The sequence below is a fragment of the Homo sapiens genome, chromosome 12 (assembly GCF_000001405.40).
Source record: "Homo sapiens chromosome 12, GRCh38.p14 Primary Assembly".
Taxonomy (NCBI): domain Eukaryota; kingdom Metazoa; phylum Chordata; class Mammalia; order Primates; family Hominidae; genus Homo; species Homo sapiens.
In genome coordinates, this window is record NC_000012.12 from 69,932,923 (window position 1) to 69,959,509 (window position 26,587).

The following is a 26,587-nucleotide window of genomic DNA, read 5'->3' on the forward strand; positions in this document are numbered from 1 at the left end:
TTTGCAAACAAAGAGTTTTCTCAAACTCTGTTTTCTTTTCTGTTGACCTTGGAGAAAGAAGTAAATAGGAAATCAAGTATAATCCACTCTCCCCTGGTCACTCATATTTATGGTAACTCTTCTGGATTCTTCAGTGAAGACTTTTCACCAAAGGGACACCAAGATATACCATGTGATGGAATTGTAGCCAAATCTACTAAGCAGTTAAACCAAGCAAATACAGTGAGGACAGCAGTATTTGCTATGCAAATTGGGCAACTTTTGACACCATCCCGCCTCTGCAGCCCGCAAAGGCGGGAGGCAGCCTTTGCTAGAATGCAGGGCCCTTTCTCAGGCCTCTAGGCTTCTGCTGCTATGATTCCCCTCCCCCACCACACTGGGCCTTTGAAACCTGGTCATCTTGCTGTGTTCTCTTGCCCGTCTTCTCTGGGCCTTTGAGTGCACCTGTTTTTTTCTTAGTCTGACTATTCATATGGTGAAAGGGTATTTATCTGTCACTCAAAAAATGCTTTGTTTGTTAGCATGGGAAAGGACTGGCTTCTGGGGCCCGTCTTAGGGGAGACAATTATTCTCAGGGGCAAAGCAAGCTGTGGTCTCAAGGTGCTTCCAGTTCCTTGACCTAAAGCAGCATCCTAGCTACAGAAGATAGTGTAGCTTTATCTGTGCCCTTCTTGTTCCTTAGTGTTTTTGCTTTTGACTTGCTACTGCCCACTGTAGGGAGATAATTTGACACGACTACCTAGAATTCCCATTAGAAACCTTTGCACTTTTCTTAGTCTCCCAAGTGTGCCTGTCTTCTCCTGCTGGGATTCCCAACTCAGGAGAGTGTGAACCTCTATCTTAGTGGACATCCTTAGTATTCTCTAGAGACACAGATTCCCAGCCCGGTGGAAAAGTTATAAGAAGTCTAATTGTAAGGTAAAGAGACTGCTTTTTAAACATGCTTATTAGGTCGTCTTATTTTTTCCAATACTGTTTACCACTAAGACTGTAGATGGTAGGTATTGGGTTTGTTATCTTGCCTCTGGCCTGTGGTATACCTGAGTAGGGTCAAAACCAGGGTTTGCCCCCGAAGAATGGAACAGATGTGTCCATTTCATTATATGGTCCTAGAAGTTTTCTGGGCTATGCGTTGAGGCAGATGCTGGACACAAATCATAAAGAGTATTTTAGAATTGGAATGGGGAGATGGAGAGTGGGAGAGGTAGGAGAACAAAGAAGGGGAGACTGTGACACAGGACTTTTCTCAGCCTTTTCGCTGGACTCACAGCAGTGGTGCCCCATCTACTTGGCCCGCTGTGGTCAGCTGAGTGGGAGCACATGAGAGAGTGAGTGCAGGGTTTGGTCGGCCACTCCAGGTGCTGATACAGGAGCAATCTCCATGCAGGGCTCATGGCCAGTCCAGGCATGTCACCCCAAGGGGAATGGGGCAGTGCCCTGGTGAGGGTGCCTGGGACCCTGAAGCCCCAGAGGGGGTGTTAGGGTGCTAATTAGTGTTTTTAGCTCTGCCATCTGCAGCCCAATGAACAGCAGAGTGTCCTGGCTTTGTCACATGGGGCAGCTGCCCTCCACTGGTGAAGGCAAAGGGCCAATGACACAGCCTTTCTGGGTACCCATGCTCGGTGAGTCCCAAGCTCTTGTCCAGCGTCTGAGAAGAATGAGGTCACACTGATGATTGATTGAAGAGTGATGAAAGCAGAGAATTTTATTGAGCAAAGAAAACAGCTCTCAGCAAAGAGGGGAGCTGAAAAAGGGACAGAAAGTTCAGGTCGTCTTTCCTGAAGTCAGGTTGTCTCTTCCCTGAAGTCAGGTCATCTCTTCCCCAAATTCAGGTTATCTCTGTCTCTACTGACTGAGGCTGATGTTTTTATAGGCACAGGATAGGGGCACGGCAGGCCATAGGTAGTATTGGAAAAGGCAACATTTGATTGGTTGAAAGGCATTATTCAGAAAGACCCACTTGGGAGAGAGTGGGAAAAAAACAGGAATAGAAGTTCTCACTCTGGGCTGTGGGTTTCAGGCTGGTTTTGGCTTGAAGGTGGGGTTTCACTGGGGACCCAACCCTGTTTGGCTAGGATTTCTCTGCCTCCTGCCTCTATTAACTGGACCACAGCAAACAGTTGCCACGATGACACTATAAACTCTCTCTGACAGCATCTTTGGGGTTCATCATCACTTTTCCCAGGCAGGGCTGTGCCTGCTGGGCAGCAACCAGCTGCTGCTGAGAACACTTTGGGAATTTGTTCTTTATAAGCACATATGGCACAGTTTTTTTTTGTGTATCCTAATGATGGTAAATCCAGCACCTTTGATGGGAAGCAAAATAATGAGGAGTCAAGTTTGGAGAACCAGGTGTGAAGTCAAACTGGCAAGAAGTCAAGTCAGGTAACTCTTTCAAGCCTAGCACAAAACAGTGCTGTAAAGCCATCAGCAGACTTTCTGTGTGACTTGTGAGAGGGTTCTGAAGATGTCCCCCAAAGAGGAGAACACTAAGTATTTGGATGCATGAGGATTGTTGGGAATAGCTTCCCAAGGCTCGGAACTCTTAAGGAAAGCTTCCATTTGTTTATGTAAGTTCCAGTGATGGGGGAGAAGACACCCTCGTTATTTTTGAAGTCTCACAGTGTGGAAACAAATACTTTCTTGCAGTTCTTTTCCTTCCTCTGACCTGTTCAGCGTATTGTGCTCTGAAAAGACAGGCAGCCGGAAGGAAGATGTCAGAGAAGCAGCCAGAGGGTTTGGCATCCACAGCTGACTAGACCTGTGCCGCCTTCCATCTCCCAATGCGACAGTGCCAATGCCCTCCACCGGTGGCACGCAAACTGTGCTCTGACTCTTTCCTGCAAGGAGCAGTTGCCTCCAGCAACTTACATGCTTCCTCTTGTAATCTTCCACTAGTGACAGGCACCTCTGAGACAGCTTGCCAGGGCTGGGGGGCTGCTCTATGTGGAAAAATCCATCAGCATGGAATACCTAGGAGCCTCTGAGCTCTTTTTCTCTCCAGGGCAGAAAAGCATAACTGTGCTGGTTTCCATGGTGTTTCTGTCAGCCGTGGCCATCCCCTCCCCCCTGCTCCCATCTGTGTGGCCTGTGAGAGTACATCTCTGGCCAGCTGGATGTGTGAGATATATCTGGAAACAAATCTGCCACATAATGTTTTTTTTTTTTTTTTTTTTTTTTTTTTTGACAGTGCTTTGACGATAGTTGCCCTCTATATACTTAGCTTAAAAGATCAAGACCGACGTGTCCCAAATCTCCCTCCAAGGTGAGAGTTCAGTTCAATTTTCTGGCCTAAAATTCCTTTGGAGAGAAGGATTTTTGCAGCCCTCTTTCATTAATCATTTCATTCTTTTTCTCCAGCAATATCACAAGCTCACAGGAGCCAGCTCTGCTGCCCACAGCCTCCTCCTCAGGTAAAGGCTTCACATTCCTCACCCTCAAACCCGGTTTCAAGTGAACTGTTAACAGAAGAAACCAGCCTTTCAGGTTAACCTTCTTGCTTCCCCTCCCCCCTGCCCAATGCCTTGCAGCACCTAATACATCCCTGGTAACCACACCGGCCTCCTTACAAGTACCTGAAATTACTTTCTGTGAAATCCTGCCGTGTCAGGAGACTTATTGCTGCCCCATCCGGGGAATGAAAGAAGTCTCTTCAAGTCCTGTGCAAAGACAATCTGAGGAGAAGGAATTCCATCAGAGGCGATGGTCAGGTAAATGATGTTCAAAGAGAAACAACTAGAGCTTTGAACTTGAGGTTGTTTTTCTTGTCACAATTTACTTAGATGGTCATTAATGGTTCCAGATAATGGTTCCATGCTTCTATTTGGGGTGGCAAAATCTTTAAAACACAAATACACAACTGCCAATCATCTGTAATATTGAGTTCCTTGCCCAGGAATGAAATTTTGGTTGATTCAAGTACTTATAATTTTCACCAAGTGAAAGGTTCTCATTTGTCCATTGCCAACAAGGATAGTAATAGTAGCACAAGCGAAGTAATTACATGCACGTGGGTGGATTTTTTGGGCTCATTTAGAGTTTAAAAAATGATGTGGTATCTGGGCTCTCTGCCTAAACTGACTAGGGCAAAATGTAAGAGACTTTGGAAACTCTAATTTAGAGTTCAGGGTGAGATTTAAGGCAGTGAAAAACACAAGACTGGCATTCCACTTTCAGAATAACTTTCCTCTTCCTCCTAGGGACACACACACACATACATACATACCAATGTTATTCAAGTAACACAATTTTCATGGTAAAAAAAAGTATAGAAACTTAATCAAGGGCTGCAAGTGTAATCATATCCATAAGATTACATACAAGTCTTCCAAATGTATACTAATTTATTATTGTTTTTAGAAATTTTATTCTATATATACATATTAATAAATAGTAATATTAATGATGATGCTAATAAGGATACATATTACTATGGCTTATTGATTAGGATACTGTCATAACAACAACTCTTAAATAACAGTGGCTTCTTTATGGCAACAATTTAATTCTGAGTCACTCTATATATTAAATGTGAATCAAAAGACAGTTCTTGGTCATCATGTCATTTAAAGTCCAGCTGATGAAGATTCCATCACAATAATTATTTCCACAGTCTCCGTAGTAGTGGTAAAAGAACAAGGCAAATTATGTTCCGACTCTTAAAGCTTCCACCTATGTATAACACATATCACCTCTGCTTATACTTCATTGGCCAAAGCAAGTCACGTCACATTGGTCATGTCTAATTTTTAAACGGATGGGGAAGAACAGATCTAACATGTATGGAGAAGATGAACCAGAATACTTATAAGTGGTGCTCATGACCTACATAGAATATGGTCAGTGGTTGAAATGTTGGGGTGCAATGTAATTTCCTTTCCCTTTTGACATTATTGCATATCCTAGTCTTGGTTAAATAACTTTTACAAATTGTCATCATCATCATGATTATCATGTTGTAATGAGGTATTACTCTACGCTAGGTACTGTCATAAGTAGTTTACATGAGTAAATCATTTAATCTTCACAAGCCTACAAACGAGGTGCTTTTATTATCCCAATTTTTTTTTCCAGTGGGGAAGCTGAGACACAGAGAGTTCTTTCACTACAGCAATAGGAGACAATGAGCTTTTCTCATGAAAACTATTTTTGATTGAACTTAGGAGCAGATGCATCACTATGGAGTAGAACTAAAAACTTCATTTTAAAGAAAGGAATTCATTTCAGTCATCTTATTCTCAATATTTTTAAATATGAAAAAATCTAGAACTATCACAGAAATCCCCAAGGCTTTTATCCCTTGTGAAAGCACATGGAACCTTGTGGCTGGTAAACACTTTTCTTACTTTGGGAGCCCATGCTGGAGACACTTGATGTTCTTTTCTCAAAGCAGTCCTCAGAAGAGACCATCTCACCTATGAGAGATGTACTAATAACAGATCCTGAATAGGAAGAGGTCGTAGACTGGTCCACTCTTCATTTTCAAGGGTTTCTTGACCTCTGAACAAGTTCATTCCTGAAGTAACCAGCTGTTCACATCAAGGGAATATAGTCATGTGCCACATAATGATGTTTCAGTCAACAATGGACCATATATACACTAGTGGCCCCATAAGATAATAATTGAGCTGAAAAATTATTATTGCCTGGTGATGTCTTGATGATCCTGACCTTGTACAGGCCAGGCTAATGTGTATATTTGCACTTTAGTTTTTAATGAAAAGGTTTAAAAGTAAAAAAAAATTTTAAATAAAAAAAGCTTATAAAATAAAGATATAGGAATAGGAACAGCTCCGGTCTACAGCTCCCAGCCTGAGCGATGCAGAAGACGGGTGATTTCTGCATTTCCCTCTGAGGTACCGGGTTCATCTCACTAGGGAGTGCCAGACAGTGGGCGCAGGTCAGTGGGTGCGCGCACCGTGCGCGAGCCGAAGCAGGGCGAGGCATTGCCTCACCCGGGAAGCGCAGGGTTCAGGGAGTTCCCTTTCCTAATCAAAGAAAGGGGTGACGGATGGCACCTGGAAAATCGGGTCACTCCCACCCGAATACTGCGCATTTCCGACGGGCTTAAAAAATGGCGCACCACGAGATTATATCCCGCACCTGGCTCGGAGGGTCCTACCCCATGGAGTCTCGCTGATTGCTAGCACAGCAGTCTGAGATCAAACTGCAAGGCGGCAGCGAGGCTGGGGGAGGGGCGCCCACCATTGCCCAGGCTTGCTTAGGTAAACAAAGCAACCAGGAAGCTCGAACTGGGTGGAGCCCACCACAGCTCAAGGAGGCCTGCCTGCCTGTGTAGGCTCCACCTCTGGGGGCAGGGCACAGACAAACAAAAAGACAGCAGTAACCTCTGCAGACTTAAATGTCCCTGTCTGACAGCTTTGAAGAGAGCAGTGGTTCTCCCAGCACGCAGCTGGAGATCTGAGAACGGGCAGACTGCCTCCTCAAGTGGGTCCCTGACCCCTGACCCCCGAGCAGCCTAACTGGGAGGCACCCTCCAGCAGGGGCACACTGACACCTCACACGGCAGGGTACTCCAACAGACCTGCAGCTGAGGGTCCTGTCTGTTAGAAGGAAAACTAACAAACAGAAAGGACATCCACACCAAAAACCCATCTGTACATCACCATCATCAAAGACCAAAAGTAGAAAAAAACCACAAAGATGGGGAAAAAACAGAACAGAAAAACTGGAAACTCTAAAAATCAGAGCGCCTCTCCTCCTCCAAAGGAACACAGTTCCTCACCAGCAACGGAACAAAGCTGGACGGAGAATGACTTTGACGAGCTGAGAGAAGAAGGCTTCAGACGATCAAATTACTCTGAGCTACGGGAGGACATTCAAACCAAAGGCAAAGAAGTTGAAAACTTTGAAAAAAATTTAGAAGAATGTATGACTAGAATAACCAATACAGAGAAGTGCTTAAAGGAGCTGATGGAGCTGAAAACCAAGGTTCGAGAACTACGTGAAGAATGCAGAAGCCTCAGGAGCCGATGCGATCAACTGGAAGAAAGGGTATCAGCAATGGAAGATGAAATGGATGAAATGAATGAAATGAAGTGAGAAGGAAAGTTTAGAGAAAAAAGAATAAAAAGAAATGAGCAAAGCCTCCAAGAAATATGGGACTATGTGAAAAGACCAAATCTACGTCTGACTGGTGTACCTGAAAGTGATGGGGAGAATGGAACCAAGTTGGAAAACACTCTGCAGGATATTACCCAGGAGAATTTCCCCAATCTAGCAAGGCAGGCCAACGTTCAGATTCAGGAACTACAGAGAACACCACAAAGATACTCCTCGAGAAGAGCAACTCCAAGACACATAATTGTCAGATTCACCAAAGTTGAAATGAAGGAAAAAATGTTAAGGGCAGCCAGAGAGAAAGGTCGGGTTACCCTCAAAGGGAAGCCCATCAGACTAACAGCGGATCTCTCGGCAGAAACACTACAAGCCAGAAGAGAGTGGGGGCCAATATTCAACATTCTTAAAGAAAATAATTTTCAACCCAGAATTTCATATCCAGCCAAACTAAGCTTCATAAGTGAAGGAGAAATAAAATACTTTACAGACAAGCAAATGCTGAGAGATTTTGTCACCACCAGGCCTGCCCTAAAAGAGCTCCTGAAGGAAGTGCTAAACATGGAAAGGAACAACCGGTACCAGCCACTGCAAAATCATCGAGGCTAGGAAGAAACTGCATCAACTAACGAGCAAAATAACCAGCTAACATCATAATGACAGGATCAAATTCATACATAACACTATTAACTTTAAATGTAAATGGACTAAATGCTCCAATTAAAAGACACAGACTGGCAAATTGGATAAAGAGTCAAGACCCATCAGTGTGCTGTATTCAGGAAACCCATCTCATGTGCAGAGACACACATAGGCTCAAAATAAAAGGATGGAGGAAGATCTACCAAGCAAATGGAAAACAAAAAAAGGCAGGGGTTGCAATCCTAGTCTCTGATAAAACAGACTTTAAACCAACAAAGATCAAAAGAGACAAAGAAGGCCATTACATAATGGTAAAGGGATCAATTCAACAAGAAGAGCTAACTATCCTAAATATATATGCACCCAATACAGGAGCACCCAGATTCATAAAGCAAGTCCTGAGTGACCTACAAAGAGACTTAGACTCCCACATATTAATAATGGGAGACTTTAACACCCCACTGTCAACATTAGACAGATCAATGAGACAGAAAGTCAACAAGGATACCCAGGAATTGAACTCAGCTCTGCACCAAGCGGACCTCATAGACATCTACAGAACTCTCCACCCCAAATCAACAGAATATACATTTTTTTCAGCACCACACCACACCTATTCCAAAATTGACCACATAGTTGGAAGTAAAGCTCTCCTCAGCAAATGTAAAAGAACACAAATTATAACAAACTATCTCTCAGACCACAGTGCAATCAAACTAGAACTCAGGATTAAGAATCTCACTCAAAACCGCTCAACTACATGGAAACTGAACAACCTGCTCCTGAATGACTACTGGGTACATAACGAAATGAAGGCAGAAATAAAGATGTTCTTTGAAACCAACGAGAACAAAGACACAACATACCAGAATCTCTGGGACGCATTCAAAGCAGTGTGTAGAGGGAAATTTATAGCACTAAATGCCCACAAGAGAAAGCAGGAAAGATCCAAAATTGACACCCTAACATCACAATTAAAAGAACTAGAAAAGCAAGAGCAAACACATTCAAAAGCTAGCAGAAGGCAAGAAATAACTGAAATCAGAGCAGAACTGAAGGAAATAGAGACACAAAAAACCCTTCAAAAAATTAATGAATCCAGGAGCTGGTTTTTTGAAAGGATCAACAAAATTGATAGACCGCTAGCAAGACTAATAAAGAAAAAAAGACAGAAGAATCAAATAGATGCAATAAAAAATGATAAAGGGGATATCACCACCGATCCCACAGAAATACAAACTACCATCAGAGAATACTACAAACACCTCTACGCAAATAAACTAGAAAATCTAGAAGAAATGGATAAATTCCTGGACACATACACTCTCCCAAGACTAAACCAGGAAGAAGCTGAATCTCTGAATAGACCAATAACAGGATCTGAAATTGTGGCAATAATCAATAGCTTACCAACCAAAAAGAGTCCAGGACCAGATGGATTCACAGCCGAATTCTACCAGAGGTACAAGGAGGAACTGGTACCATTCCTTCTGAAACTATTCCAATCAATAGAAAAAGAGGGAATCCTCCCTAACTCATTTTATGAGGCCAGCATCATTCTGATACCAAAGCCGGGCAGAGACACAACCAAAAAAGAGAATTTTAGACCAATATCCTTGATGAACACTGATGCAAAAATCCTCAATAAAATACTGGCAAACCGAATCCAGCAGCACATCAAAAAGCTTATCCACCATGATCAAGTGGGCTTCATCCCTGGGATGCAAGGCTGGTTCAATATATGCAAATCAATAAATGTAATCCAGCATATAAACAGAGCCAAAGACAAAAACCACATGATTATCTCAATAGATGCAGAAAAGGCCTTTGACAAAATTCAACAACTTTTCATGCTAAAAACTCTCAATAAATTAGGTATTGATGGGACATATTTCAAAATAATAAGAGCTATCTATGACAAACCCGCAGCCAATATCATACTGAATGGGCAAAAACTGGAAGCATTCCCTTTGAAAACTGGCACAAGACAGGGATGCCCTCTCTCACCAGTCCTATTCAACATAGTGTTGGAAGTTCTGGCCAGGGCAATTAGGCAGGAGAAGGAAATAAAGGGTATTCAAATAGGAAAAGAGGAAGTCAAATTGTCCCTGTTTGCAGATGACATGATTGTATATCTAGAAAACCCCATTGTCTCAGCCCAAAATCTCCTTAAGCTGATAAGCAACTTCAGCAAAGTCTCAGGCTACAAAATCAATGTGCAAAAATCACAAGTATTCCTATACACCAACAACAGACAAACAGCCAAATCATGAGTGAACTCCCATTCACAATTGCTTCAAAGAGAATAAAATACCTAGGAATCCAACTTACAAGGGATGTGAAGGACCTCTTCAAGAAGAACTACAAACCGCTGCTCAAGGAAATAAAAGAGTATACAAACAAATGGAAGAACATTCCATGCTCATGGATAGGAAGAATCAATATCATGAAAATGGCCATACTGCCCAGGGTAATTTACAGATTCAATGCCATCCCCATCAAGCTACCAATGCCTTTCTTCACAGAATTGGAAAAAACTACTTTAAAGTTCATATGGAACGAAAAAACAGCCCGCATCGCCAAGTTAATCCTAAGCCAAAAGAACAAAGCTGGAGGCATCACACTACCTGACTTCAAACTATACTACAAGGCTACAGTAACCAAAACAGCATGGTACTGGTACCAAAACAGAGATATAGATCAATGGAACAGAACAGAGCCCTCAGAAATAACGCCGCATATCTACAACTATCTGATCTTTGACAAACCTGACAAAAACAAGCAATGGGGAAAGGATTCCCTATTTAATAAATGGTGCTGGGAAAACTGGCTAGCCATATGTAGAAAGCTGAAACTGGATCCCTTCCTTACACCTTATACAAAAATCAATTCAAGATGGATTAAAGACTTACATGTTAGACCTAAAACCATAAAAACCCTAGAAGAAAACCTAGGCATTGCCATTCAGGACATAGGCATGGGCAAGGACTTCATGTCTAAAACACCAAAAGCAATGGCAACAAAAGCCAAAATTGACAAATGGGATCTAATTAAACTAAAGAGCTTCTGCACAGCAAAAGAAACTACCATCAGAGTGAACAGGCAACCTACAAAATGGGAGAAAATTTTTGCAACCTACTCATCTGACAAAGGGCTAATATCCAGAATCTACAATGAACTCAAACACATTTACAAGAAAAAAACAAACAGCCCCATCAAAAAGTGGATGAAGGACATGAACAGACACTTCTCAAAAGAAGACATTTATGCAGCCAAAAAACACATGAAAAAATGCTCATCATCACTGGCCATCAGAGAAATGCAAATCAAAACCACAATGAGATACCATCTCACACCAGTTAGAATGGCAATCATTAAAAAGTCAGGAAGCAACAGGTGCTGGAGAGGATGTGGAGAAATAGGAACACTTTTACACTGTTGGTGGGACTGTAAACTAGTTCAACCCTTGTGGAAGTCAGTGAGGCGATTCCTCAGGGATCTAGAACTAGAAATACCATTTGACCCAGCCATCCCATTACTGGGTATATACCCAAAGGACTATAAATCATGCTGCTATAAAGACACATGCACACGTATGTTTATTGCGGCATTATTCACAATAGCAAAGACTTGGAACCAACCCAAATGTCCAACAATGATAGACTGGATTAAGAAAATGTGGCACATATACACCATGGAATACTATGCAGCCATAAAAAATGATGAGTTCATGTCCTTTGTAGGGACATGGATGAAATTGGAAATCATCATTCTCAGTAAACTATCGCAAGAACAAAAAACCAAACACCACATATTCTCACTCATAGGTGGGAATTGAACAATGAGAACACATGGACACAGGAAGGGGAACATCACACTCTGAGGACTGTTGTGGGGTTGGGGGAGGGGGGAGGGATAGCATTGGGAGATATACCTAAGGCTAGATGACGAGTTAGTGGGTGCAGCACACCAGCATGGCACATGTATACGTATGTTACTAACCTGCACAATGTGCACATGTACCCTAAAACTTAAAGTATAATAATAAAAGAAAAAAAAAGAAAAGACAAATATTTAAAGTAATGGATATCCCTTGGGCTAGGGGAGGGATAGCATTAGGAGAAATACCTAATGTAGATGACGGGTTGATGGGTGCAGCAAACCACCAAGGCGTGTGTATACCTATGTAACACACCTGCACGTTCTGCACATGTATCCTACAACTTGAAGTATAATTTTAAAAAAGTGATGGATATCCCAAGTTACACTAATATGACCTTTATACATTATATGACTGTATTAAATTACCATGATGTACATTCACTACTCATTAATACAAATTTTTTTAACGAAAATAAAATAGATATTTAAAATGTGAAAAAAAATTAAAATAAAGATATAAAGAAAGAAAATATCTTTGTACAGCTGTACAATGTGTTTGTGTTTTAAGCTAAGTGTTATTACAAGAGTCAAAAAGTTTTTTAAAATTTAGAAGTTTATAAAGTAAAAAAGTTATAGCAAGCTAAGGTTAATTAGAAGAAAGAAAATTTTAAAAATAAATTTAGTATAGCCTAAATATATGGTGTTTATAAAGTTTACAGTAGTGTCCCAGGCCTTCAGATTCACTCACCGCTCACTCACTGATTGACTCAGAGCAACTTCCAGCCCTGTAAGCTCCATTCATGGTAAATTCCCTACACAGGTGGACTAGTTTTTGTCTTTTATACTTTATTTTTTACTGTACCCTTTCTACATTTAGAAATATTTAGATACACAAATACTTACCATTGTGTTACAATTGCCAACAGTATTTACAGTAACATGCTGTACAGGTTTGCAGCCAAGAAGCAATATAGCCTAGGTGTGTAGTAGGCTATACAATCTAGGTTTGTGAAGTACACTTTGTGATGTTTGTACAACAGTGAAATTGCCTAATGACATATTTCACAGCATCATGTAGTTAAGCAATGCATGACTGTATTGGGAAGAATAGCCCTTATTAAACCAGATCAAGGCTCGTTGCTCTCTGTGACAATACAGAATTTTCATGTTAAAAAAATTATAGGCTGGGCGCGGTGGCTCACGCCTGTAATCCCAGCACTTTGGGAGGCCGAGGCGGGCGGATCACGAGGTCAGGAGATCGAGACCATCCTGGCTAAAACGGTGAAACCCCGTCTCTACTAAAAATACAAAAAATTAGCCGGGCGTAGTGGCGGGCGCCTGTAGTCCCAGCTACTTGGGAGGCTGAGGCAGGAGAATGGCGTGAACCCGGGAGGCGGAGCTTGCAGTGAGCCGAGATCCCGCCACTGCCCTCCAGCCTGGGCGACAGAGCGAGACTCCGTCTCAAAAAAAAAAAAAAAAAAAAAAAAAAAATTATAGAAACTTAATCAAGGGCTACAAGTGTAATCATGTCCATAAGATTATATACAATTCTTCCAAATGTATACTAATTTATTATTGTTTTTAGAAATGTTCCCCTAAAAGCAGTAGCCTAGAAACAAGATGAGTGTCTGCTCATCTTGTTTCTATAGCTATGTAAACTTCTAAAGAAAGAAGTGATTCCCAAGGAAAGAAAATTTGCTCCATGGTGCCAGGCTGTGTCCACCTAGACAGAACTAACTGCTTCTTTGACTACAAATGAAATTTATGTTGTGCCTTACTAGGCTCTGTGATACACTGGGAAAGTTGTTATCTCTTCCTTTTGTCAACTGGAGAAAAATGGAAAGAATTCAAATGTTTGATTCACTTTTGTCTTCAGAAAACCCAAAAACTTTTGGAAATTTAGTCACAGAATCTCAGAGAACAGCTACGCAAGTGGCACCTGACTTTTTGGCCCCGAGAATCCACTATAAGCCTACTTTTACAATGATGTGATTGAGAAAATACATAAAGAACAAATGTAACTATAAGTTCAGTTAAGCTTTTAACTGAATTGTTTTTATTACTCCAACAGTGGCGTTTGAAAAATAGTACAAATCTATAGGAGATATGTTGCTTTTCAAGTCTACAGACAACACCACAGACCCCTTTATGCAATCACCCAAGGTTCCAAGGACCCCATGTCAGGAGAACTGCTGATTTATACCAAATTACCCATTTTGCAGCTGATGAAATGGAGGCACTGGACCTTGCTTAAGATTCCTCAGTTGAGTTTCTAGAAAAGTTGGAATTGAAATCTGGGTCCCCCACTTCCCTGTCCTGGATTCCTTCCCATTTGCTATCCTGCCTCCATTGATTTGGACATGGGCTGTGCATGTACCTGAGATCAACTCTAGAAGGTGCAGAAAGTATCCACTCTATGGCCCCTTCTGCCTCCTCCTGGCAAGTTTGCCTCTGTCCATTGCAATGTCCCTGATGTGGGATATTTTGGAGTCTGAGCAAAGCCTCTTCTCTTCTGCTGCTGGTTTACTCTTCCCCTCTGTTCAAGGTACTGTATAACACCAGGCTTCTAAATACAAAAGAGGAGAAGTCTAGGAAAGTATTCTTTTCAGCCAGATGTTTCTAAAGCATTAAAGACCAATTAAAAATTAAGGAATAAAAATAAAAAAGAAATTCAAGAGTAACAAAAAAAACTTAGAAAAGCTCTCAGTGGGATGCAGAGTAATATCTAACAGTTTACTAAACCCCTAAACACATTTATGAGCCTCCTCCCTGAGGAGTAAGACTATAATAAAATAAGTGAAGGGAAATCAACATTTTTATGACATGCTGAGCTCATGTCATTATTCTTCTTTTGGGCCAAAGTTGATCATATCTGTGTAAAGTGTCTTTCAGAAAGGTTATCTCTCCCTCTCCCCCTCACTTAATAAAAAGTTTGGGTAAGGCTAATCAGGAAGTGGAAAGTGAGTATTTTGGAATATTGAGCTTCTACTCTAAGGAACCATCTGAATGTGATGAATTAGATTTTAATCCATGGAACCAGTAAAGATTTAAGTAGACAGGAGAGTTAGATATTAAAAAGTAAAGAGCCTGTGGAGAAAAGCATCTATGGAATTCTATAGAATATATTAGAGTTGGTGAAGATTTTTTAAAAATCTGGAATTCATGCTCATTTTGTTTTGGAGACCATGACTCTGAGAAAAGTGAATGGCCAGAAGAAAATGGTCCCCCATTTTAAAGAACTCAGCCATCGACTGGTGGGGCTCATTGGCTTCTTCATAGTGCATGAGTCTGGTTCAGTGAAGGGAAGAGAAATGTATCCAAGATGCTGTACTGGACTCAGCCAGTACAAGTACAACACAGTCTTACAAGTAGTGCAATATACACCTTCTACCATGACAGGAGTATGCTTTTTTTGGGCACCATCCTAAATCTTTACTCTCCAGAAGTTTCTAATTTAGTTTGTTGGGAGAGCTCATCTACCAATTGTGAAATATATCTCCAACTTTATAATGAAAACTGCAGGGGATGTACTATATGAAGCTTATAATGAATATCACTGGAAGGCATTTGTAAAATGAGATCAACCCTAGAAGGTGCTGAAAGTATGACTTTATGACTTCCTGTATGACTACTGGAAGATTTATGGGTTTCTTATAACCAGCCTTTCAGAGTCAAATAGTCTTGTTTCAGAGAAGTGTCAAATGGAAGGTGTTTTATGGGAGATTTAAATCTTATTTCTTGCGTTTGAAAAATCATTTTTATAATTCTGATCTGCAAGATTATCTTTCCTCATTCCCACCTATTTATTGCTGTTTTTTAAAAAAAACCTTACCCCACCAGGTACTCAATTGTATTCATAGGGTTCTATGTCTCCAGGACCTGAAAACACAGTTCTGTGGAAGAAGACAAATCTGTAGTTCTGTTGCCAGAATTTATAACGAGCTCTTTTTCTGCAAATTCAGCAGGCAAGTAGGACAAAAGGTAGGAGAAGAAAACACACAGGATAGAGAAGTCCTGGTTTCCACTTCTCTTTATGCCTCATTTGCGTTGTAAATTTACAACCTTCTGTGGAAGCAGTCTTAAGCAAAACTAATAGTAGAGACGTGTTTGAAAATTATTACTGGAATAGCTAGAATCCAAGAAATCTGGAGGACTTTTTGGCAGCATATGTGTTTACTTGTAAAGGAAAATAAATATTCAATTTTCTAGAAACTCCTCATATATCAGGACCCATTTCTTCTTAATGGAAAGCACCATGTTGGGTTCAGAAACTTGCCCTGCCTTCCAGTTCTGTCTTGCTTCCTTTTGCTAATAGAATAAGGAGTCTAGCTTCCCATGTTCTTTCTCAGCATCCCTCTGCACCCTTCCCCTGGGAACTTTCCCTGTGAATGTGTAAGAGGAAAGTTTTTTGGAGGTTAAATTGGTCTTCCCTCTTCTTTTCCTTACTCTTTCCCTGGCTCTCTTCCTTCCATCCTTTCACCCATATTCATTGAGCACCACTGTGAGCCCAGCATTACCCTATCTGGGATACAACAGTGAACAGGATGTAGTCTTCAAGGAGCTCACAGTTAGGTGAATGGGTAAGTAAACTAGTCATTCCACCTAGTGAAAGGAGTTGTAACCAGGATAGGGATGTTTAGGAGTGATTGTCCCCAAGTATTGTGTACTGTTGCTTTTGCTTTCTATCCTGAAACTTGAACATAGATCTAAATCTGCAAATTAAAAAAAAAAAAAAGACTGCCAAAACTTCATAAAGTTATTTTGTTAGGTGTACTTAGCGACCCACTAAATGATTGCTTTCACTATCTACTTTAAAAAGATACATTAAAAATATAGCCTTAACAACATTCATCTGAATGGTTACCTTTCCAAAATTGCATTTAAAATGCCTTTTGGGTGATGACAGGAGCCTAGCCACTCCCTGGGCTCCCTCCCTGCAAGCCTGCTCTGGCCCCACACCAGCAGCCTGATTCCTCCCTTCAGCTGGCTGCATCTCAGGCCTTACTTTAGACCAAGCTTGTCCAACCCGCGGCCCATGGGCCGGCCACATGCGGCCCAGGACGGCTTTGAATGTGGCCCAGCACAAATTTGTAAACTTTCTTAAAACATTATGAGATTTTTTTTTTGTAATTTTTTTTTTTTTTAGCCCTTCAGCTATCATTAGTGTTAGTGTATTTTATGTGTGGCCCAAGACAATTCTTCTTCCAGTGTGGCCTAGGGAAGCCAGAAGACTGGACACCCCTGCCTTAGACTTTAAGCTCAATTTTTTTCCTACATGGATCACATTTCACATTTTCCCAGAATAGCAAAATTGTGGACTCTGGAATTAGATGGTTTGAATTGGAAACTCTTTATTCCTATCCACAAGCTGAGTCCTTAGTGCCTCACTTAGCTTATCTGTCAAGCGGGGATAACCTCACTCTTGGACTTTTGTAAGGCACTCAGAACAATGTTCAATGAAGAGTAGGTGTTAACAAATAGTAGGTGTAATTATCATTGTTATCCTTCAGTGCAAAAATATATGTCCCACAGAATTTCCTCTAACATTTCATGTTCAAGTTATTAAGCAATTGGGAAAGCATGCTCAATTTTTTTTTTTATAAGTTTTGCTTATCTTTAGAGACCACAAACTCTACTTGTATGAAGAAGGTTAACGTTTCATTATTTTACTGTAGGGATAGTTTTGCTCCTATTTTTCTTCATTTTTACCCACTCTCTCCACTGCCCTTGGACCTATTCTCTATTTTAACAGGATATGTTAAGCAGCAGAGAGGTCACAGAAGTAGGCAGGGTTGAAAAATCAATAGGGACCAATATACATTTGATGCTAGGCCGTGGTGCTACCTGGACTCAACTCTAAAGGGATTATTCTATGAAACAGTCCATCTCCTATCTCCATGCTTTCTCCTGGGATCTCCAGGAGTAGTTCTTTCTCCTTGCTAGTGTCCAAATGTTATATTTTTTCATAGCCTTTGCTTTCACTCAGAAAAATAAATATGACTAATGAGTATGTCCCTACTCCTTTGCAACTTCATATGAGCCAGGCTTCAGTTGAGCAGAGAAGTTGACTTTAGGGCCTGTTATACTCACTCGAGAAGTAGTATCAGGATCAAAAGAAGATCAACAGGAAGGCAGATGCTAGCTCAGTAGAAGGGAAAACTGGTATTTAGCATTGCCCAGCAGAAGAATGGGCAGTGAGTCCCTTGTCACTGGAGGTGTTCAAACAGAGATTCCTTGGTTATTTATTTCTTTTTTTACATTAGCGTGTGTGATTCTGAGATAGCAATACTAAGATGGATAAAAAAGAATCCAGATAATCTAAAGATAATAATTTCAATTAACAATGTTCATTCACAAACTAGATAGGAAATAAAACTATCATTAGCTTGTCATTAATCAAAGAAAGACAGTTTCCATAGATTGAGCAAGACATTATGGCAGGGGTTACAGAGGATTCAAAGAATATTAGTAGACATTCCCTATTCTGGAATTGTCAGGAAAGGCAAAAATACATGAAAAGTTAAGTAATAATACAGAGGTAATATGCCCTTCAGTATGGTGACAGATATATCACTGATTGATGACTGCATTGATGGTTCAGTAATAAGTGCTATGGCATTGGAAAGGAGGGATCTGTGAGCTGCAGACCTAGTTGGGGATAGTTTCTTAGTCCACTTTGCCGTCGTAACAGAATACCACTGACTGGGTGGCTTAAACCACAGATAATTATTTTCTCACAGTTCTGGTGGCTGGAAGTCCAAGACCAAGGTGTCAGCAGGTCTGATTTCTTCTGAGGCTTCTCTCCTTGGTCTGCAGATGACTGTCAACTTGCTGTGTCTTCAGATGGTCTTTCCTCTGTGCACACGTAGCCCTAGGGTCTCCCTGTGTGTCCTAACCTGCTTTTTTTTTTTTTTTTTTTTTGAGATGGAGTTTCACTCTTGTTGTCCAGGCTGGAGTGCAATGGCGCAATCTCGGCTCACCACAACCTCCGCCTCCCAGGTTCAAGTGATTCTCCTGCCTCAGCCTCCCGAGTAGCTGGGATTAGAGGCATGCACCACCATGCCTGGCTAATTTTATATTTTTTAGTAGAGACAGGGTTTCACCATGTTGGCCAGGCTGGTCTTGAACTCCCAACCTCAAGTGATCTGCCCGCCTTGGCCTCCCAGAGTGCTGGGATTACAGGCGTGAGCCACCATGCCTGGCTCCTAATCTTCTGCTCTTACACGGACACAGGTCAGATTGTATTAGAACCCACCCTGACAGCCTATTTTTAACTTAATCACTGCTTTAAAGGCCCTATCAACAAACAGTCACATTCTGAGGTACTGGGGGATAAGGCTTCACTATATGCATTTGAATTTGGTAGCTGGGAAGGGGACCCAATTTAGTCCATAACAGATGACTTCTTGCAGAAGGAGGAGAATAAACTAGATCTATAAGAAACAGGATAGAGATTAGATGAGTTGAAGGATGGGAGACAGAAAGGGTGGGGGAACACTCAACTCACAGAGATGAACTAGGTCACACATGGGGTTTCTTCTCTTCTCCTGAACAAGCCTTCAAGATTGACAGACTTGTTTCCTTTTCAGAAGACAAAAGCAAATCAGTTTTGGCAAGAAATGCACTCAGCGGCCCTGACTGGGAGAGTGACTGTAAGTTGACATTTAAGTGACACTATTCTTTGGCTTTGCGGGGCCAGGCCAACTAACAAGTTGTAAAAGCATTGCTGGAGTGAGGAGCAGGGACAAAGGCTGCAGCCTGCCTGCCACGCATATCCATGGGACTGTGTGTTATAATCGATGCCACCCTAACCACTAATGAGGCATTAGAAATGGTCACTCACTGTCAGACAAGTTGTGGTTGATCTCCATGGATGTTCATAATTTATTTGAACTTCCTGACCTCTTCTATTCTGACTACATTTTTAGTTTGTCTTCTGTTTTCTGAAACAGATTGCATTTCATGTTGCACCTCCATTTTCAATAAATTTTGATTTAGTAGGACTTCCATGGTCCAGAAATTCTTTTGAATGTTATAGGGGATGTTTATTGGAGCCTGAGTTTTTATTAGTTTTTCTAATAGGTACTATAACCCCCCAAAAAGCCTTCTCCCCTTCCTTTTCCTCCTGTTTGTTTTCCATTTGAATACAAATGGAATCTCTTGACCTGGGAAACTCTTACTTCCCATTCTGTAATTTGAGGACTGTGGCTGGAATACAATATTCTTTTTCCTTTCAGAAGAGTTTATTTACTTTGTCTATTTCTTCTCAATTCAGGGATTGATACAACCATCAGTTCTATTCAGATTATGGAAATCCAGCAAATAATAGATCATCAGTATTGCATTCAAAGCCTCCAGTGCGGGTAGGTAAGCCTCCCCAGCATGCCCTGGTTGTTTCTGGAATTTACCCATGGCTCTGGGTTTTTAAGACTGCAGTGGAAGCTAAAGCTACATGATAAAATCAATGTGTGCTTACATTGCTCCTTAAGTGAAAACATCTTTATTACATGGTGGGAGAAAGAATCATAAAACAGTTGGTATTAGCAAATGTCAATAAGCCACGGCCCTAGTGATTCCCGTCTCCTGGTTTAATGGATGGGTCCAAAGCAGAAAGCCTAGGGAGCAGCTCTGTTGCTGACTCTCTGAGGGCACATATCAAGGGCACAGAGCTGCCAGTTAATTTTATAGACAAGAAAGACATTGTTGCTCATGGCTCCAAGTTACAAGTGAGGTGACATTTGTATATTTTAATAACAAGGGATATCATTTTAATTGCTGAAAAAATATAACTTAGCTTTTCAGATAGGAGGAAAAAATCAGATATGGCAAAAGTTATCGGGACATCCATCTCCAGTGTATGCCTTATCACCTGTATCAAGGTAATGATACTTCTAGAAGCAGAGGGTGCAAGTTGCTTCAAAGAGTACAGTGTGCCAGTTGTAGGGATTAAGAATGGAGAGGGCTGGGCGTGGTGGCTCACGCCTGTAGTTTCAGCACTTTGGGAGGCTGAGGCAGAAGGACTGCTTGAGCCGAGTTAAAGGTCAAGACCAGCCTGGGCAACATGATGAGATCCTGTCTCTCCAAACAAACAAACAAACAAAATATTAGCTGGGCATGATGGCACACACCTGTGGTCCCAGCTAATTGGTGGGAGGATCTTTTGAGCCCAGGAGGTCGAGGCTGCAGTAAGCTGTGTGTTTGCACCACTGTACTCCAGCCTGGATGACAAAGTGCAACCCGGACACACACACACACACACACACACACACACACACGGAATGGGGGAGTTATTTTTCTTAATTTGATAACTGTTTCTTAGGCACCTCCTAGATTAAAGGCAAGGCCTGTAATCTGAACTAGTGTCACAAATCCTGTGGGTTTTCAGCCTCATTTCTTTTCCAACCTGATATAACCTGGGCTTCAAGTTGATGGCTGTGAGTTATAAAAATAACATGTATGGTGCTTTATGATTTATGACCTCTATGTTCATTATCTCATTGAATTCTCACAAAATCCCCATGAAGTTGGTATAATGTATCCCTGTTTTGTAGTTAAATTTCAGTTAAACTTGAAAAAGTTTGCCTAAGATCACCTATAAGTGGCAGATACAGCTATTAATTAATGTGGTAAGATGACATAGTGAAGAGTCAGATGATTCAAGTTCAAGTCCTAGAACTTCTTTGACAAGATGTTTATTCTCCCCAAATACCAATTTTTCAGCTATAAGATGGGGATACTTTCAAAACTGAGTTGGGTTGCTGTGAAGCATGCAGATAATGGGAGAGACATCTTAGGAAATGCATTCCATTTATCTAAGCTTCCCCTAGTCAAACAAACTGCTCCTGATCCCAATGCAGATCTTTCTATTTTAAAAAGTACATTGATTCACTGAAATAACACTGTTCTCAATTTGGTGTGCAAGTTGCACTCTTATTTTTTTCAGCTGTATTGAGGTATAATTGACAAGCAAAAATTGTTTATATTCAAGATGTATAATGTTTCGTTTTGTTGTAATATACCTATCCAGTGCAAAATGCAAGATCTTTCCATTTCCTTTACTTTTGCTTTTTACCTTTTTAGCAACTTAGTTTAGCATTACTTAAAAATAAAATAACTGACTCTTTTTCCCATCGATCTGATTTTAAATTGTTTTTCCATGTAATTCAAGGGATGGTCAGGTAATAAGGAGAACTTGTTTTAGAGACAATATGTCTTTTTGCTGGAGTTTTTCGTTACAATACGAATCAAAGGAATTTCCCTTTTATCCAAGTATCTCTCTTAAAGGTGTGGGGGGAATCTATGTATAAGCACTTGTCTTGCAATCTTCTCCATTACTAAATGGTAATTAGAATTATAACAATTTTAGCAGATTCAGATTCTAAAAGTACCTGATATTTCCTCCTAGTGTTGCTCAAAAGGGAGTGATTTAGGGTAGAAAAAATGTATTTATTATTCTAGGGGCATTATTAGTTTGGGGCTTTGCCTCATTTGTCTTCAGAAATCTGTGTCTCTTTAAAGGGGACTAAAGTCATTTCCTGTGTGAAAAAGCCATTTCTTGGTCTAGGATTTGACTTTCCATCATTGTTTTTTTCTGTGTGTTCTAAAAAACTATAACTTTTTATGGTATATTTTATATTAAGACCTGAAAGAGATCACTCTGAATTTGACAGGTATATCCTAAAAACAAAAAAATGATACCAGGTTGAACTCAGTTTTCCATATTTATTATTTACTATATAATATTTCACAGTTTTTATGGTATATAATGAGTAGCAAAAAGGCCTTCGAAGACTTTCCTGCATATTTTGATTTGTGGTTTTATTTTCTTTCCATAATTAGATCTGGAAATTATAATTACAATATTCCTGTTAATAAACACACACCCACCAATGTCAAGTTCTCTCTGGAAATAAAGTAAGTGCATGGCTGTAAAAAACAATTTCATTTTTATCATTAGTTGAATATGAAGTCTGGATTTACTTCACAATTTGGTCAGTCGTTAAGAGGCAGAAAGCTATCAGTTTGTGTTAACTAATGATGGTTTGAGAGGTGGCCTATTTGAAGGAAAGGTTTTCAAAATGAGGGCTGTGATCATCCAGGCTTTCTTCAGGGAATAGAAGGGCTCTAACCTCTATACCCATGCCTACAAAGTGGGAGTGATTTTGGTTTGATACTCATAAGCTATAGACTTCCCCTGACTTTCTCACTTGGTGAGAGAGAATTGGAATGGCAACAAGAGTAATAACATGCCCCCCGATGGGAAGATGCACAGCTCCCAGTAGCAATGTTAATGCAGACACCACTCCTATTTTCCAAAAGACAGAAAAAAAAAAAAAAAGGAACCAGAGTTTGGAATTGGACAGACCAGGGTCCAAGGATTCTGTCACTTACTAATTCTGTGATCTTGGACAAGCCACTTATCTTCTTTGAGCTACTGTTTCTTTATCTGTAATATAAGTATTACATGACACCATAGCACATAGAGCTGCTGTGAGAATTATTAATAATGGTGAAATTAATAACTGCCATTTGCTGAGCACAGACTATATGCCAGACTTTAATACTGGGTCATAAAATCCTCACAGCAACCCTCCCAGGTTGGTTTTTTTTTCTTAGTTTATATTTTTGAGATTGGGACACTTGGGTTTAGAGTTTCAGGACACATAAAAAAAAAAAAAAACACATTCTGAAAATCACAGGTAGTAAGTGATGGAGCTGGGCTTCAAATTCAGTCCACCCTCTCAGCCATCACTGTCTTGTCCTGCCTCCCCAGTGAGATGAGACATGTAAGGACACTGCCCTTTCCTGACACACAGTAAGCACACAATAAATGGTAGCTTTTATTAGGACTACCTTTCCTCCTAAATCACAAAACTCTAACTTAACCTATTCTTATCAGATATTTTAAATGATTATGGCACTTAAAGACTTTCCACTAAAAAATTATGCAATGAGCTACTTTCCATGAAGATAAATGGTTTTTTGTGTCTCCTGATTTTAGTCTCTCCTTTCCATCCCCCTCCACATTTCCTTTCTTCTTCCCTTCCTTTTCTATCACTCTTTCCCTTCCCTCTGTCCTCCCCTCTCTCCCTCTGCTTGCCCAGCTCTGTTTTCCTCCTCCATCCTTCACCGCACGCCTTCTGCCTCTTCCTCCGTCTTATTCAGTCTTCATACTCTTTTTTTCATCAACTTTGCCTCTGTGAGGAACCAATGTCACTCAACCCAACTGCTTGCCTTGGAAAGGTTTCTTTTAAGCAGCTAATATTTTGTGACTCAGAACCTACCATATTTCAAGGCAGAGCAAAAGCTAAATGTACTATTCTTATAAACTGAAAGTGCTATTATCTAGCACTCCTTGAGTAACCTGGAATAACATTTTCTTATTCATCTCTAGCTTTTAGTGGAAGGAAATAAGGTTATATGCTATATCCCCTGAAGTGGCAGATCACCTTGAGCTGCTAAATCAGGACTTTTAGTTTACAAACCATTTTTCGTAAAATGGATGACTTAAAAATAACATACATACTCAACTGAGATTGTAGGTTGCCCCAACTTGTGCAAAAGGATTGTTCCCAAAGACAAATAGATCTCATCCTCTTGATGATGATTAATGGGGCCAACCTCCAGAGAAGAAGAACCGTACTTTCTGGCAGACTTTCAACTCTGATAGCTTTAAAATCTAGTGATTTCTGGTAGGACTCACTCCCAAACTCCTACCTGTATTTATTTGCCTTTTTATTTTAAACAATATCTGCCTAGACCCGGAATTTGCAAAATCAAAAATCCTGAAAGCTTCATATAAATGCAAACTCAGTGCCAGTGGAAAGAGAAGGAATATATCCAAAAATTATAAAAAATACATATGGAGATAAGTTTTGATGTGAGACAACATAAGTCATAAGATTAGGTTTTAAAAACTATCATACACAGCCAGGCTAACGTCTGTAATCCCAGCACTTTGGGTGGCCGAGGCGTTAGGGTTGCTTGAGCCCAGGAGTTGGAACCAGCCTGGGCAACATAGCGAGATCTTGTCTCTATAAAAAAATAGAAAAGAAAGAAAAAAAGAAACCATCATATACTATTTCGATAGCTATCTGAGATTGGGTTTCCTTTTGTAGTAATGAGATGTGAGCTGGCCTATTGGCATCGGTGAGCTTTGTGTGATACAATGCCTATTGTGAACTTTGAATGGATTTCCAAGTTACGTTCCCATTAGATCCTCCTCTTATCAAGATGTATCCTAGTAGAAGCTGGTAACTGCTTTTTCAGGTGCTCTTTCTTTTCTTTGTCTCTTGAAGCACAACAGAGCCATTGATAGTCTTCCAGTGCAAATTCACCCTTGGAAATATATGTTTCCATAGTAAAAGGGGAACCAAAGGGCTGGAAAGCCACAGAGAAATCTCCCAGGAGATGACACAGGTAATGTTTTCTGCCTCCTCTCTTCCCCGCTGAGAGAGGGATACATTGAGCAAATTGCCAGTGTTTTCCCTCCCTGGCCAACCCTAGTCACAGGGCTTGGCTCAGCCTCTTCCTTGTGTCCTTATGAAGTTGCCTTCTAAGGCAACTTCTGTTCTGTTGCTAGGACTGTTCTAGCAACACCCATCAAAAGCTGTGATCCCAATACTTCTCCTACAGTCATTGAGGAAATGCTTTTTCAGCCTGTACTCTTTCCTACTGACTGTCAAATGCGTGTACGAAATGGATCCTCTTTTATTCACTATTTAGGGATATCAGCACATTTGGAGCCTCCCTGTAGCCCCATTTTCTGACAGCATGTTCCATTTCCGTGTAGCTGCACCGGTAAGCTTGCTTTTTCTTTTTCTTTTCAGTGAGAAAGAAATTGAGCAATAAAAAAAAATCACTTTAACCACAGTTAATTTTTACATTAATCTTCCTTTTTTTTTTTCTCCTTTTCTGACAGGATTTAGCTGACTGTTCAACTGATCCTTATTTTGCTGGGATATTCTTCACCGATTACTTCTTTTACTTCTATCGACGCTGTGCCTAATTTGTTCAAGTTTGGGGACTTTACCAAAGAAAAATACTCAGGAATACATTTAACAGAAACGAACATCCTCTTGCAACTTCTTTTTTCTTCTTTGTAAAACATTTACGTTTATTGCTGAAGGACTTTTTCAGGCTTTAGCTTCCAACAGTTTTGAGACATTAATGAGGAGAATAAAATGTTTGCTGAAACTTGAAATAATGTGATGTTTGATTTTGCCATGACTATGAAGAAAACATTTCCTGGAGCAAACAGTTCTGTTGAATTTAAAAATACTATTATTTCTGGTATTAAGGAAGTTGTGAGCTCAAAATAAGGAGATCTAGCCTCTATTTTGTTTTAATGTATTTTAAAGCTTTTGAAAAAACCAAAAGGGCCATGTCGACTTCGGCCCACTAAACATAGACTCTTGAGAATGTGTGATATGGTATGTGGAGGAGATGTGGGGGGTGGTATCTGATACTGAGCTCACATTTAGGCAAATTGTCCTATGTGTGTGTGTATTGTATAAACACATACACTAGAGTACAGAATGTAGTTTGTTAATCAAATGGATTTAAGAGAAATAATTGCAACTCTGCTTTGCAATGCTTGATGGACACTAAACTGTGTGGGTAGGGTATGCCCCCTTGTAAAGATGGAAACTCCTATACCCCAGAGCGCACTGAAATGAATCAAACTAGCCAGTCCTAAGCCTGCTTACTCTGCCTCACCTGTTCCTTCCCTCAGATTACCACAATTAAGGGTCATGTCTGCAGTTCCTCCTTCTCCCTCTGCCTCCTGACTGTTCCCAGGGCTTCCCCAGGTGGCTCCCTCTGCCATGCCATGCCCCCTTGTCTTGGGGACTGTGAGTAACAAACTATCATTTGGATGGCAATTATCTCCTCATCTGCTGGTCTTATACCTCAAATTTTCTATTAATACACTATTTTTTAGAAAATGGAGACCCAAGCCACCATCACTGTAGTTCCAGGTAACAGG

At 40.6% G+C, this 26,587-nt stretch overlaps 1 protein-coding gene across 1 annotated transcript in view, besides 1 other annotated feature; it reads left to right on the plus strand.

Moving 5' to 3' along the window:
* Nucleotides 1-26,175, plus strand: part of MYRFL (myelin regulatory factor like) — a 133,871-nt gene extending 107,696 nt beyond the window's left edge. The window contains exons 17-25 of the mRNA NM_182530.3: nt 3,191-3,265; nt 3,361-3,413; nt 3,531-3,710; nt 19,191-19,253; nt 19,877-19,964; nt 22,441-22,515; nt 24,900-25,020; nt 25,327-25,401; nt 25,523-26,175. Coding sequence (NP_872336.2) covers nt 3,191-3,265; nt 3,361-3,413; nt 3,531-3,710; nt 19,191-19,253; nt 19,877-19,964; nt 22,441-22,515; nt 24,900-25,020; nt 25,327-25,401; nt 25,523-25,609 — 817 coding nt within the window. The 3' untranslated portion in view covers nt 25,610-26,175. The remainder of the gene's footprint in view (nt 1-3,190; nt 3,266-3,360; nt 3,414-3,530; nt 3,711-19,190; nt 19,254-19,876; nt 19,965-22,440; nt 22,516-24,899; nt 25,021-25,326; nt 25,402-25,522) is intronic.
* Nucleotides 6,064-6,691: an enhancer, noted in NCBI's record as "OCT4-NANOG-H3K27ac-H3K4me1 hESC enhancer chr12:70332766-70333393 (GRCh37/hg19 assembly coordinates)". NCBI's record gives its function as "activates a minimal SCP1, AML or CMV promoter by ChIP-STARR-seq in naive H9 embryonic stem cells {active_cell/tissue: H9 hESC(naive)}" and the evidence as "EXISTENCE:reporter gene assay evidence [ECO:0000049][PMID:30033119]".
* Nucleotides 26,176-26,587: the final 412 nt, after the last annotated feature.